This window comes from Homo sapiens, chromosome 2, assembly GCF_000001405.40.
Source record: "Homo sapiens chromosome 2, GRCh38.p14 Primary Assembly".
NCBI classification, from domain to species: domain Eukaryota; kingdom Metazoa; phylum Chordata; class Mammalia; order Primates; family Hominidae; genus Homo; species Homo sapiens.
In genome coordinates, this window is record NC_000002.12 from 64867273 (window position 1) to 64879845 (window position 12573).

General features: G+C 46.8%; 1 annotated feature.

The window, feature by feature from the left end:
• Nucleotides 8761-8967: a silencer, noted in NCBI's record as "fragment chr2:65103167-65103373 (GRCh37/hg19 assembly coordinates)". NCBI's record gives its function as "represses an EF-1alpha promoter that drives an FKBP-Casp9 reporter gene in an ReSE screen in phorbol 12-myristate 13-acetate-treated (for megakaryocytic differentiation) K562 erythroleukemia cells {active_cell/tissue: K562(+PMA)}" and the evidence as "EXISTENCE:reporter gene assay evidence [ECO:0000049][PMID:32094911]".

Consider the following 12573-nt stretch of genomic DNA (forward strand, 5'->3'; position numbering starts at 1 on the left):
TGGGCCAAACACAAGGGGTGGGCAAATGGACTTCACTCGAAATGGAAAGAGCTGCAAAGTACTGCAGCCATGTGTGCAGTCTACCACACTGGCTGTCTTCTTTCTTGGGGCACGTTATCAATGAAGCAAAATGCACTTAAAAATATGACATCCTTCAGACACACCAAACACAGGCAGTCTAGCACAGTGCTTAAGTGCACAAGCTCAGTAGTCAACGTGCCTGGGTTCAAATCCTGGCTCCGCATTTACCAGCATCTGACCCCGTAAAAATTATCTTACCTCTCTGTGCCTCAGTTGCCTACTCTGTAAAACTGGGGGTAGCTGTAAATATTAGATAAATTATATCATGCTTAGGCAGTGCCTGGCACATAGTAAGTGGCCAATAAATGTCAGCTATTGTGCCCAGGAGATGATGGCTGGCTGCCCACCAGGAGTGCTGCAGCCGCAGCACCATCTTCCACAGTAGCCCCAAAGCCCCACTCACCACTGCTGACACCAGCAGCCTCACACTGCCAGCTCTCCGGGCAGGGGCAGGGCCCCTTTGAGGTGCCAGCGAAATGGTCCTGTCAGTTTTTACCAGTTCCTTCATCAAGGCTTGCCTATCACTTGAGCCCAGGAGTTTGACACCAGGCTGGGCAACACGGTGGAACCAGGTCTCTACAAAAAATGCAAAAAAATTAGCTGGGCATTGTGGCATGCCCCTATAGTCCCAGCTAGTGGGGAGGCTGAGGTGGGAGGATCACTTGTGCCTGGGAGGTTGAGGCTGCAGTGAGTGGTGATTGCACTACTGCACTCCAGCCTGGGCGACAGAGCAAGACCCTGTCTCAAAAAAAGAAAGCATGCCTGTCTAGAGCTGGGACGGGTCAGCTGTCACAAAAAGAGCTCTGAAGTCACACAGACCCCAGGACTGCTTCTGGCTCTTCTTCCTGAGGGATTTAGACGATCGAATTAATTCTCAGAGTTTCAGTTTCCTTGTCTGTAAAATGGGTGTGACAGCAGTACCTGGCACAGAGCCGATGAAGTGTAACGTGAAGAATTAAAGAGCCTGGGCCTGAAAGCTGAGGGCTCTCAAAGGACTCTTGTGGTATCTGAAGCTGCCCCTCCTACAGGGGAAACTGCTGTGGATGAATCCTTACTCCCCACAATGGCCTGCATCACTCATACAGCCCTCCGCCCCTGGTCCAGCAAGATGGGCCAACATCCTAGGGAACAAGCTAAGCTCTCTCTGCAGTTGCTAGTTTGATAACTGTTACCCCCACTACACTTCTGGGGCCTGTACCTTTGTTTTATTTTCAACCTAGTACCTCTAATAGTTAGCCCAGGGCTTGACATGGTAGATACCCAATAAATGTTGATTAAAGAGAGGCTGAATAAATGAATGAGGACTTCATTCTGATAGTTTCCCTTTTCCTTGGGTTAGACCCGCTTCTTCTGGATGGTCTCCAAACCAAGAAAACCCACGGAAATGAGGGAAGGAGGAAGGGAAGCTGCACCTGAGGACTGAGAGTGGGGCCGTGCTCTTCAGCCTTGCTGACACTGCAGCCCTGGGGAGCCAGGGCCACCCCCAGAGATTCGGCTGTAATTAGCATGGGAGCTGGGAGATAGCCCTGATGGGTGTGCTTCATCATTTTCACCAGGTCTCTCCCTGAATCAAGTCTTCCAAAACTGACATCAGAGAACCCCAGATTCTGCTGATGGTCCCCATGCAGTTCAGACCACAGATAATGGAGCTGAGCAGGGATTTAAAGAAACAGACAAACCCAACTTCATCCCGAGTGAGTGTGTGAGAGAGTGTGTGTGTGTGCATAGACACAAGTGTAAAAAGAAAACACACACACATCATGATTTGATGCTTAACGCAATTCATGAAATGAGTTACCACTCACCCCCTTCGTACGTGGGTCCTGCAGGGCACACGTGATGGTGAAAGCTGAGGCAGCAGCAGAGGGTGAGGGCTGCGGGCTGCATGCGGATCTCAGGGGCTGTTTCCCAGGGAGCCAGGGCTCTAGGAGTCCTGGTAGGAAACTCTGTGAGCCGCCCAGGCTGGTGGCCATCCAAACCAATGGCTGGAGGTGGGCGGTGGAGGTGGAGAGCAAAGAGCGGCTCCTTGTGGGAAGATGAGACTAAAATATCCTCTATGAAATCAGGGGGAGAAGGTGGGGCGGGGCTCTGTGTAAGGAAATCTGAGTGAGCTCCTAAGTCCACTTTTTTTTTTTTTCCTGGTGCACATTTAGCTGAGCTCTTTTGAAAGATGGATGTGTATCTGTCCACAAGCACATACCCCCAAGACCAAATCAGAAGGATGGTAGAAAAGTGGGGAGAAGGCAAGTGGGTGAATGCGGGCCACAGTGGCATGACCAGCGCTCAGGCTGGGGCCCAGGCGGGATTTGAGAATAAAGGGATCTTCTTGGAGTACACAGTCCTGGGACTGGGGAAGAAGGCTGTCACCTTCATCAGAGGGGACTTGGAACTCCTGGATTTAAATTTTGACTCCCAGGAGGGCATCTGGTTGCTCAGGGGATAAAGGAGAGAAGGCTAAGATTATGCTGATTCTGAGTGGGGCCCTAAAGTCACTTTGTAACACATGGACTGCAACACAGAGTAACACACTGGACTGTGACACACACATGGCAACACACGCAGTGTGACACAGGGACCATGACACACCACAGACTATGACACATGCACCGCAACACAGGAACTGTGGCACACCATGGACTGTGACACACACACCACAACACAGGGATTGTGACATACCACGGACTGTGACACATACACCATGACATAGGGACTGTGACACACCATGACACAGGGACTGTGACACACCATGGACTGTGACACACACACACGGCGACACGTGGAGTGTAACTCTTTGGTAAATTTTTTTGATACAAGGTCTCCCTCTGTCACCCAGGCTGGAGTGCAGTGGTGCAATCATGGCTCACTGCAGCCTCCGCCTCCCAGTGTCAAGCGATTCTCCTACCTCAGTCTCCCAAGTAGCTGGGACTATAGACATGCACCACCACGCTGGGTGAATTTTTAAATTTTTTATAGAGATGGGCATCTTGCCGTGTTGCTCAGGCTGCTCTCGAACTCATGAGCTCAAGCAATCCTCCCACCTCAGCCTCCCAAAGTGCTGGGATTACAGGTGTGAGCCTCCGCGCCCAGCCAAGTGTCACTCATGGGCAACACAAGGACTGTGGCACCCAGACTGTGACACATGGAGTGTGACACACAGACTGCAGTAACCCTGGAGGCAAACTGTGGTCCTAGTCCCCTTACAGTAGAATTAACTGGGCTATTGGTTAAAAACTTGTTCCTGAGGCTATCCCAGATCTACCCAATCTAGATATTGGGCCTCTAAGGATTGGGCCTGAGAAATTCACATTTTACTTTATTTTTTAGAAATGGGGGTCTTGCTATGTTGACAAGGCTATACTTGAACACTTGTGCTCAAGCATTCCTCCTATTTCAGCCTCTCAAGTAACTGGGACTACAGGTATGCACACCATACAGGCTGGAATTCAAAATTTTAAATATATGCTCCAGGTGATTTCAAGGCCCTAAGGATGGAGGGCCTTTGTTGAGTTTGTAGACAGGGTTAGAGAAGGCCAGTGGCTCCCAAGCCTGGTGGTACCAGAATTGCTGGAAACATTAAAAACCAGGCTACCCTCCTGGTTGATCTGAGGTGGGACCAGGAATCAGTATACTTAGGAAGTTCCTCAGGTGATTACAATCATCCCTTCGGTTTGGTACCCTGGGAGGAAAATAACTGGGAAGAAATTTGCATGATCTGTTACTCAATGCTCCCACATTGCCTTCAGATGGGACATTCTGCACAGCCCTCCCAACCCCACCAGGGCAGGCCTAGGGGTACAGAGATGTTGGGGCCATTGTTCTGAAAAAAATAATTTTTTTTTTTTTGAGATGGGCTCTTGCTCTGTCACCCAGGCTGGAGTGCAGTGGCGTGATCACGGCTTACTGCAGCCTTGAACTCTTGGGCTCAAGTGGTCCTCCCACCTCAGCCTCCCAAGTAGCAGGGACTATACATGCATGCCACCATACTAGTTTAATTGTTTTTCATTTTTTCGGTAAGAGATGGGGTTTCACTATGTTGCCCAGGCTGGTCTCGAACTTCTGGGCTCAAGTGATCCTCCCTTGAACTCCTGGGCTCAAGCGATCCTCCCTCGTCGACCTCCCAAAGTGCTGGGATTACAGGCGTGAGCCACCGTGCCCAGCCTGTCTTGAAATACTTTTGGATTGATAAGAACCCTATGGTTTCAAAGTCAGCAGAGTACCTGAATCAGAAAAACAAGATTCTCCTCCCAGCAAGTCAACCTTTTCCTACGCCTCTGGCCATTCCTCTATCAGCTGCAGTTTAGGACAGCAAGCAGTGACAAGTTAACTGCAATAGAGCCCTACTGCTCACAGACGGGGAATAGACATGAAGCACGTGTGTGTCTACACCAGCGGAGGCCCTGCTTTCTAGCATCCCTGGCTGTGGACATCACATCTTTGCCTATGGGTGAACTTCAGGTAAACTGGTGCTCAGCCCTCAGCCCTCACCAAAGGCAACCTTCCTTTTACAAAAAGCAATTCGATCCTCATCCCAAAATAACACTATATGGCATTTAGACTCTACTTAATATCAAAATGGGCAGGGGGTCTGCAGGGTCAAAACTACTTTCATATGAGATGTTATTTGCCCATTTCACCCTGTTCTCTCTTGAGTGTACAAAGCTGCGTGCTTTGGGGAAACTCAGTCTGATATCACAGCAGACTGAATGCAAAAGCAGATATGAGACTCCATCTGTCTTTTATTAAGCTAGACACTTTTTAAAATTGCAGAAATATAAAAGAGGGCCAAACTTCTTTTTGTTTTGGAAAATATAGGTATTTTTCTAAATGAGAAATGTTATGTTAACATGTAGCAGGTTGATTATTGTAATAAATAAATAAATTTTTTAAATTCTCCATTTTGTTTTTTTGGTTGTTTTTCTTGAGACGGAGTCTCGCTCTGTCGCCCAGGCTGGAGTGCAATGGCCCAGTCTTGACTCACTGCAACCTCCGCCTCCCAGGTTCAAGCGATTCTCTTGCCTCAGCCTCCCCAATAGCTGGGACTACAGGCATGTGCCACCACACCCGACTAAATGTTGTATTTTTAGTAGAGATGGGGTTTTGCCATGTTGGCCAGGCTGGTCTCTAACTCCTGACCTCAGGTGATCCACCCACCTTGGCCTCCCAAAGTGCTGGGATGATAGGCATGAACCAACACACCCGGCCGTCGGTTTCTATTTTATTTTACACTTTTTAAACGTTTCTTTTTTTTTTTTTTTTTTTGAGACAGGGGTCTGTGCTGTGTTACCCAGGCTGACCTCGAACTCCCGGGCTCAAGCATCCTCCTGTCTCAGCCTCCCAAGTAGCTGAGATTGTAGGCATGGGCCACCGTGACTGCTTCAGTTTATTTTATTTTATTTTATTTATTTATTTTTGAGACGGAGTCTTGCTCTGTTGCCCAGGCTGGAGTGCAGTGGCCCGATCCCGGCTCACTGCAACCTCCGCCTCCCAAGTTCAAGTGATTCTTCTGCCTCAGCCACGCAAGTAGCTGGGACTACAGGCATGCGACACTACACCTGGCTAATTTTTATATTTTTAGTAGAGACGGGTTTTCACCATATTGGCCAGGTTGGTCTCAAACTCCTGATCTGCCCGCCTCGGCCTCCCAAAGTGCTGGGATTACAGGCTTGAGCCACCGCGCCTGGCCAGTTTTGTTTTGAGAGACAGAGAGTCTCGCTCTGTCACCCAGGCTGGAGTGCAGTGGCGCGATTTTGGCTCTGTGCAACCTCTGCCTCCCAGATTCAAGCCATTTTCCTGCCTCGGCCTCCCGAGTAGTAGCTGGGACCACAGGGCGGCTAATTTTTAAAATTTTTAGTAGAGATGGGGTTTCCCCATGTTGGCCAGGCCGGTTCAGTTTTAATCTACAAACTGGTAACTATTGAGAGGTACAACCCACATAAACAAACTAAAAGCTCTTCGAGGTCCTCAGTAACGTTTAAGAGTATAAAGGTGCCCCGAGACCAAGAAGTCTGAGCAGCGCTGCCTCATTTCCCCTCCTCCCAGAGTGAAAACGTATCCATTTGACTCTTGAAAGAGCAAACCTCAGAACGAGGCTCATGGGCAGTTGGGAAAGCAATGCGACTAAAACACAATAACTGCCCTTAAGGAACTGCTGGTTATGTAGGAGCTAGCGACAGGTCAGCAGCCGCCCATAACATACCTGTCATTGCCAGGCCACCCCTGCCTCTCTCCCGCCGCAGCCCTAGGTTCCCGAAATTCCGGCCCCTGCGCACCCCCTGGTGGCCGCCCCTCGCCGGTGCAGTCTTCTTCCTCCGGAGCGTCAGAATGCTCACTAAGGACCTCAGGCCTGGACCCCATCACCGTGAGGAGCAGTCTAGGTCCCGGGTGGCCTTCTGCCTGTCCCCTCTGCTCATGTTTATCCCTTGATGACTAATCCCAGCCTGCTTCTGCCTGTGTACCTGCCCTTTGAGAGTACTAGACATCCTTCCCCTGGCCAACCATATTTGTAGGTGATAGAGACAGTATATCAGTCTGGGCACATTGGCTCAGGCCTGTAATCCCAGCATTTTGGGAGGCCGAGGCGGGAGAACTGCTAGAGCCCAGAAGTTTGAGACCGGCCTGGGCAACATAGCAAGACCCCATCTCTTTAAAAACAATTTTTTTTTTAAAGAGAGTACATCACAGTAGAAATAATATATGTTGTAGATTGAACCTGAGTCCAGGCAGTGCCATGCCAAAGTTACACTTCTTACTGATCTGCCCTATAGCAAATGATCTGTTGTATAAAGTAACCCTGGACATTGGCAATTGATGGATATTCTACACTGGGATCAAGTTCCTTCAGGAGGGGTAAAGCGAGTCCCAACTCTCCAAATCTTGTTGGCTTAGCTAGATTCCCTGCTCTTCTGGACTGCATGTCACTGGCTATACTTTCAGCATCCTCACATAAGGATCAATACCCCAAGACCTGCATGAGTCCTCCTAGGACTTTCTTCTGGGGATTTAGGGGCCCTACTGTTGTAAACAGGACTCAAGTAGTCAACTATAAAATCCCAGAAATCCCAGAACTCCTCAAAGTGAGTATGCAGATTAACACTTTGTTTGTTTTGCTTGTTCGTTTTGCTTGTTTGTTGTCTCTATTTTAATCAAACCCTAGAAATTCAGAATGAGAATATCCTCAAATTGATAATACTATTGGAAGCAGGTGAGGGAATTTCAGAGACAGTGAGGTTTATCCTACAGTTCTGACCCAGAGTCCATTAGCAGTAACCTGACTGCCCCATAAATGACCTCAACCATCTTAGCCTAGTGGTCTCCATGGTAACCATCAAAGAGTGGTCCCCCTTTCTTACCTACAGATGTTCCTCCCACCTTCACCTGCACCCAGCACTTCAGGCATGACCTAGAACTGGATTCTGTACAAATGCCATTTGCAGAGGTATTGTTCCCTTCCTTCCTCCCTTCCTCCCTCCCTCCCTCTCTCCCTCCCTCCTTTCTTTCTTTTTCTTTCTTTCTTTCTTTCTTTTCTTCTTTTAAATAGAGATGGAGTCCTACTATGCTCAAGCAATCTTCCTGTTTCAACCTCCCAAGTAACTGGGATTACACGTGTGCTCAGCCTTTCTTCCCTTTGAATCCATGTTTTAAGCAAGTAGAACCATTTCTTTAATTTACACAGAAAAGCCCTTTAAATATAAATTAGGAGTATCAGGTACATGAGGGGTTATTTCATTAGTCTTTCTACTTTTGCATATGCTTAAAATATGCTTAAAAATTTTTATTTGAAAATTATCTTGATTGTGACAAAAAATAAATAAAAATAAAAAATTCAGAGAACAAACAGAAAAGGGAAACATTAAAAATACATCCTTTCTTCAACATGTCTGAAGGAAATCTGGCCTTTGCAAAAAAAAAAAAAAGAGAGAAAGAGAAGAGGTTATGCAGTAAATGTCATTTTCTACAAGTGGAAATCGTAGATTGTGAGCCTCAATCATTATCTGGGGTACGGGAAGGTGGCATAGCTGAAGACTTTAATTTTGGAGTACTTGAAGAATCTAAATCAATCTTTAAAGTATAATAAAAATGTGTAGATTTGGAGGGAAATTTTAAAAATCAATCATATTGTCCTTCTTCCACAATCCCTTTCCCATCTTCTCCCCTAGCAGCCTCCTCTTCCTCACAACCTTTCAAATGTCCACAGTGAGAAATACAGTGTTGACACCTGTTGCTTTTGTCTTGCAGCAGGGGTTGGGTAAACTATGGTTCTTGGGAACGGTTTAATCAGACTTCTTCCACAGATTTAAAAGATGGCCCTTGAATAACGTTAAAGATATGATTTTGCTATTGTGCATTTACTTTGTAAGATAAACACATTAATCAAAAATGGAGGAATTAAAATTCAGATTTTGTATTGCTGTTTGCTAAATAATTAACATGAAGGCATATTGTCACTCTCTTTAAATTCTAAAAAAACAAACCAATCAAAAACCCAAACCCCAAAACCCAAAACTACGGTCCTGACCTGTTTTGTTTGACCAGCAAGCTAAAAATGGTTCTATCATTATACATATTTTTTCAAATGTTTAATGTAATTTTATTTTTTTCCACGGGGGAGTTGGCCACTGTCCTGCTGTCCATATCAACCAACACCTTTTCTGGGATCTGATGAGTGTCATTAGGATTGTTCTTACCCAAAGGTTTTTACATTTTTGAAGGGTTGTAAAACAAGCAGACACACAAAAAAGAATAGGTTGACAGACACCCTGTGGCTGGGTCTAACCTCGGCTGTAGGCTGGCTGGAGCCCTGGTGAAAGGTGGCTTTTCTTCCATCCAGGCAGTCACTAACAAGAGGTACAGCCTTGAAGTTGCCATGCCGACAGGGAATTCAGTTCTTAAAATAGTAGACTGTGCTCAGGCATTTTCAGGGTGGGTGGGTTTGGAGGGAGGGGGTTGGGAATAGGGGTGGGGAGAGATGATAAACTAATGAGTCACACCCAACTGGTGACAGCTGCTCCAACAACCCTCTGGCAACATGAAGTGGGGAGGAAAGGACATTTTCCATGAATGGGAACAGTTTGGTTTCCTCACAGTATTTTCCTGCCTGGCCAGAGGAAATTCCCATCTCCACCTCCTCTCTCTCCCTCCTGCCACTCCCCAGCCTCCTCCTTGCAGAGAACAGAAGGAGGAAACGCCCATCTCACAAAGAGCCTGCCATGATTCAGAGGGACTGGTTGTTACTGAGGATTAGTCTGTGCAGGGACTGAGAGGAGCTCACTCTCACACACGCTGCCTTGGGACTCCGTGCGTTGGGAGGCCTGGGAACGAGCATTATCATCATCGCAAGATCTAATGAAAGTATTTCACTAAAAATGTCTTTAATCCAGATCGGTGAATCAATCAATAATAGTTATTCTTTGAGACTCGCCTGTTGCCCCTCTACTGTTCATAAGGTTTTTTTTTTAGAATTGGGGTCTCGATCTGTTCCCAGGCTGCACGACCATAGCTCACCATAACCTCAAACTCCTGGGGTCAACCGATCCTCCTGCCTCAGCCTCGCAAGTAGCTGGGGCTACACCACATCTGGCTGATCTATTTTTTTCTGTGTGATAAATATACATAACATAAAATCTACCATTTAACCATTTCCCAGCGATGCAATTCAGTGGCAGTAAGTTCATTCCCATTGTGCAACCATCAATATCTTCCAGCACTAGAATTTTTTTTTTTTTTTGAGGCAGAGTCTCACTCTATTGCCCAGGCTGGAGTGCAGTGGCATGATCTCGGCTCACTGCAGCTTCCTGCCTCCCAGGTTCAAGCAATTCTCCTGCCTCACCCTCTCGAGTAGCTGGGACTACAGGCACATGCCACCACATCTGGCTAATTTTTGTATATTTAGTAGAGACAGAGTTTCACCATGTTAGCCAGGCTGGTCTCAATCTCCTGACCTCAAGCAATCTACCCACCTCGGCCTTCCAAAGTACTGGGATTACAGGCGTGAGCCACCACGCCATGGCTAGGACTTTTTAACCATCCCACACTCTGAAACTGGGTGCATAACTCCTCGCTCTGCCTCCCATTGCCATCCCAACCCTGGCAACCACCGTTCTACTTTCTGTCTCTATGAATTTGGCTGCTTTAGGTAGCTCATGTAAGTGGAATCATCCAATATTTGTCCTTTTGTGTCTGGCCTATTTCACTTATTATAATATGTTCAAGGTTTGTCCATGTTGTAACATATGTCAAAACACAAAATTACAACGAATCCAGTTTAAGGATCTTAACTGACTTTATTTGTGATTCTAAAATTGGGCAATACTTCATTCCATAAAACAGAATACATGTTTTGGGCCGGGCGCAGTGGCTCACACCTGTAATCCCAGCACTTTGGGAGGCTGAGGCGGGTGGATCACTTCAGGTCAGGAGTTTGAGACCAGCCTGGCCAACATGATGAAAACCTGTCTCTACAAAAAATACAAAAATTAGCTGGGCCTGGTGGCATGGGCCTGTAATCCCAGCTACTTGGGAGGTGAGACATGAGAATCGCTTGAACCTGGGAGGTGGAGGTTGCAGTGAGTTGAGATAGAGCCATTGCACTCCAGCCTGGGTGACAGAGCGAGACTCTGTCTCAAAAAAAAAAAAAAAAAAAAAAAAAAATACATGTTCCGATGAGCTGAGCAGAGAGGTTGGCCTTACAGACAGAAAAGAACTAGCGGGAGTGGAAGCAAAGAGCCAAGTGTATTAGTCACTTAAAGCTACTTTCCTTGTAAGGCACAGACAAGGAGATCGAAAAAATAGAAAAATCACTGATCAGTGAACCTCAGGTTATGCCAGGCTACCTTTTGTGTGCAAGGATTAAGGCAGAGGGAACTTCATTATCCTGTCTATTGAAGATTGAAGCTGGCCTGTTTGGGAAATTGGCTGTTATCTCTCTCTCCTGATTTCTCAGAACTATAGATAATAATTTAGGTTTAGTGATGTGAAACTTTAGCATGGGTGACTCCATTTTGACTTTAACTCTGGTCTTACTGGGACCTAGTGCAGAAGCTTAGCCCAAAAAAATGGCCTATCAATTTTATTTAACACGTGTTAGAATTTCATTCCTTTCTTCCTTTTCAAGGCTGAATAATATTTCATCATATGTGTACAACACAGTTTGTTTATCCAGTCCTCCGTAGATGGACATTTGGGTTGTTTTCACCAAAAGGTGAATCAAAAGGCTTCACCAAAAGGCTGCTGTGAATAGTGCTGCTGTGACTATCAATGTACAAATAGCGGTTCGAGTCCCTGCTTTCAAGTCTTGTGGTGGCTAGTCCATTTTCAGAAAGAAAACAATTAGCAGGCTGAGAACCCAGCCCGGGTGCAGAAGACGCTACGGCAGCACGTTCTTGTTTTTTCCATCACATCCGTTGAGTCTCCTCTGAGGCCAGCAAGCCCCTCACCTTTTGTCCTCCCTTGGTGCTCCAGCCCTTGGCTCTTGCTGCTCATCTCCATGGGGTCAAGGCCCTGGGAACCTGTGATCCTAGATCCGTCATTGAGAACAGTGGGGAGCTATAAGGTTCATGGTTATCTCTTCCATATTCTTCAGAGTTGTGCATCATTCAAGCAAAGCTTTTTTAATACTAGTTGTATCTTTCAGCATGATTTCAATGTGTTTTTGTCCCGAAGAACCCATTTCCCACCAGAGGCAGAGCATGGAAGGACTCAGTGTACGCATGTCACTAGGAATTTTTTGGTTGGGAATGGGCACATGGCCTCAGCTGGCTCACTCAGGCTGACAGGAAGGAGTTTTATTTCATGGCTGGGCAGGATGTTCCCTTTTTTCTCTGGAAGTGTTTCACTTGATATTGATCAAAAGAATGCTAGCTGAACCGTGAACAAAGCTGGCACCTGGAGACGAAGGCGGGGCTGAGAGAATAGCAGGACGTGTTCCTAGAGCCTTAATCATACAATGCCTGAAGCCCACCCTATCCAGTCTACCTGTGAGGAAGCTAATAAACTGCCTGTAATTTAAATCTGGTTTGCTAGGGTTTCTGATCCTCAGGGTCAAAAATATTCTAACAGACTCAGTCTGCATGGTGTTAGGGTTTTGATTTTCACCCCAAGAGGAGTGGAAAGTCATTAAGAGATTTCAGCAGGGCGAGTCCAGGGAGGGGTGACAAGATCAGGTCTGCATTTCAAAGCAGGACTCTGGCCGCAGGGTGGAAATGGGTAGTGGCTGGGATGGTTGTACTTGGGGGCTACTGGGCTAGCTCTGGGGAGAAGTTGTAGAGTAGGACAGAGGGGAACAGATCTGGAAGTTTTTAAGGAAGTTAATAAGGTTGATGAGACTTGATGACGGTTTGTGGGGATGGGGAGTGGGGTGACCTCTAGGCTTGTGGCTGGCTCAACTGGATGAACAGGGGTGCTACCCACCATGACAGGAATATGGTTGAGAAGAAGAGATGGAACACCAAAAGTGTCAGGTTCCTGGAGGGACTGGCCTTAGGTGGGAGTGGCGAC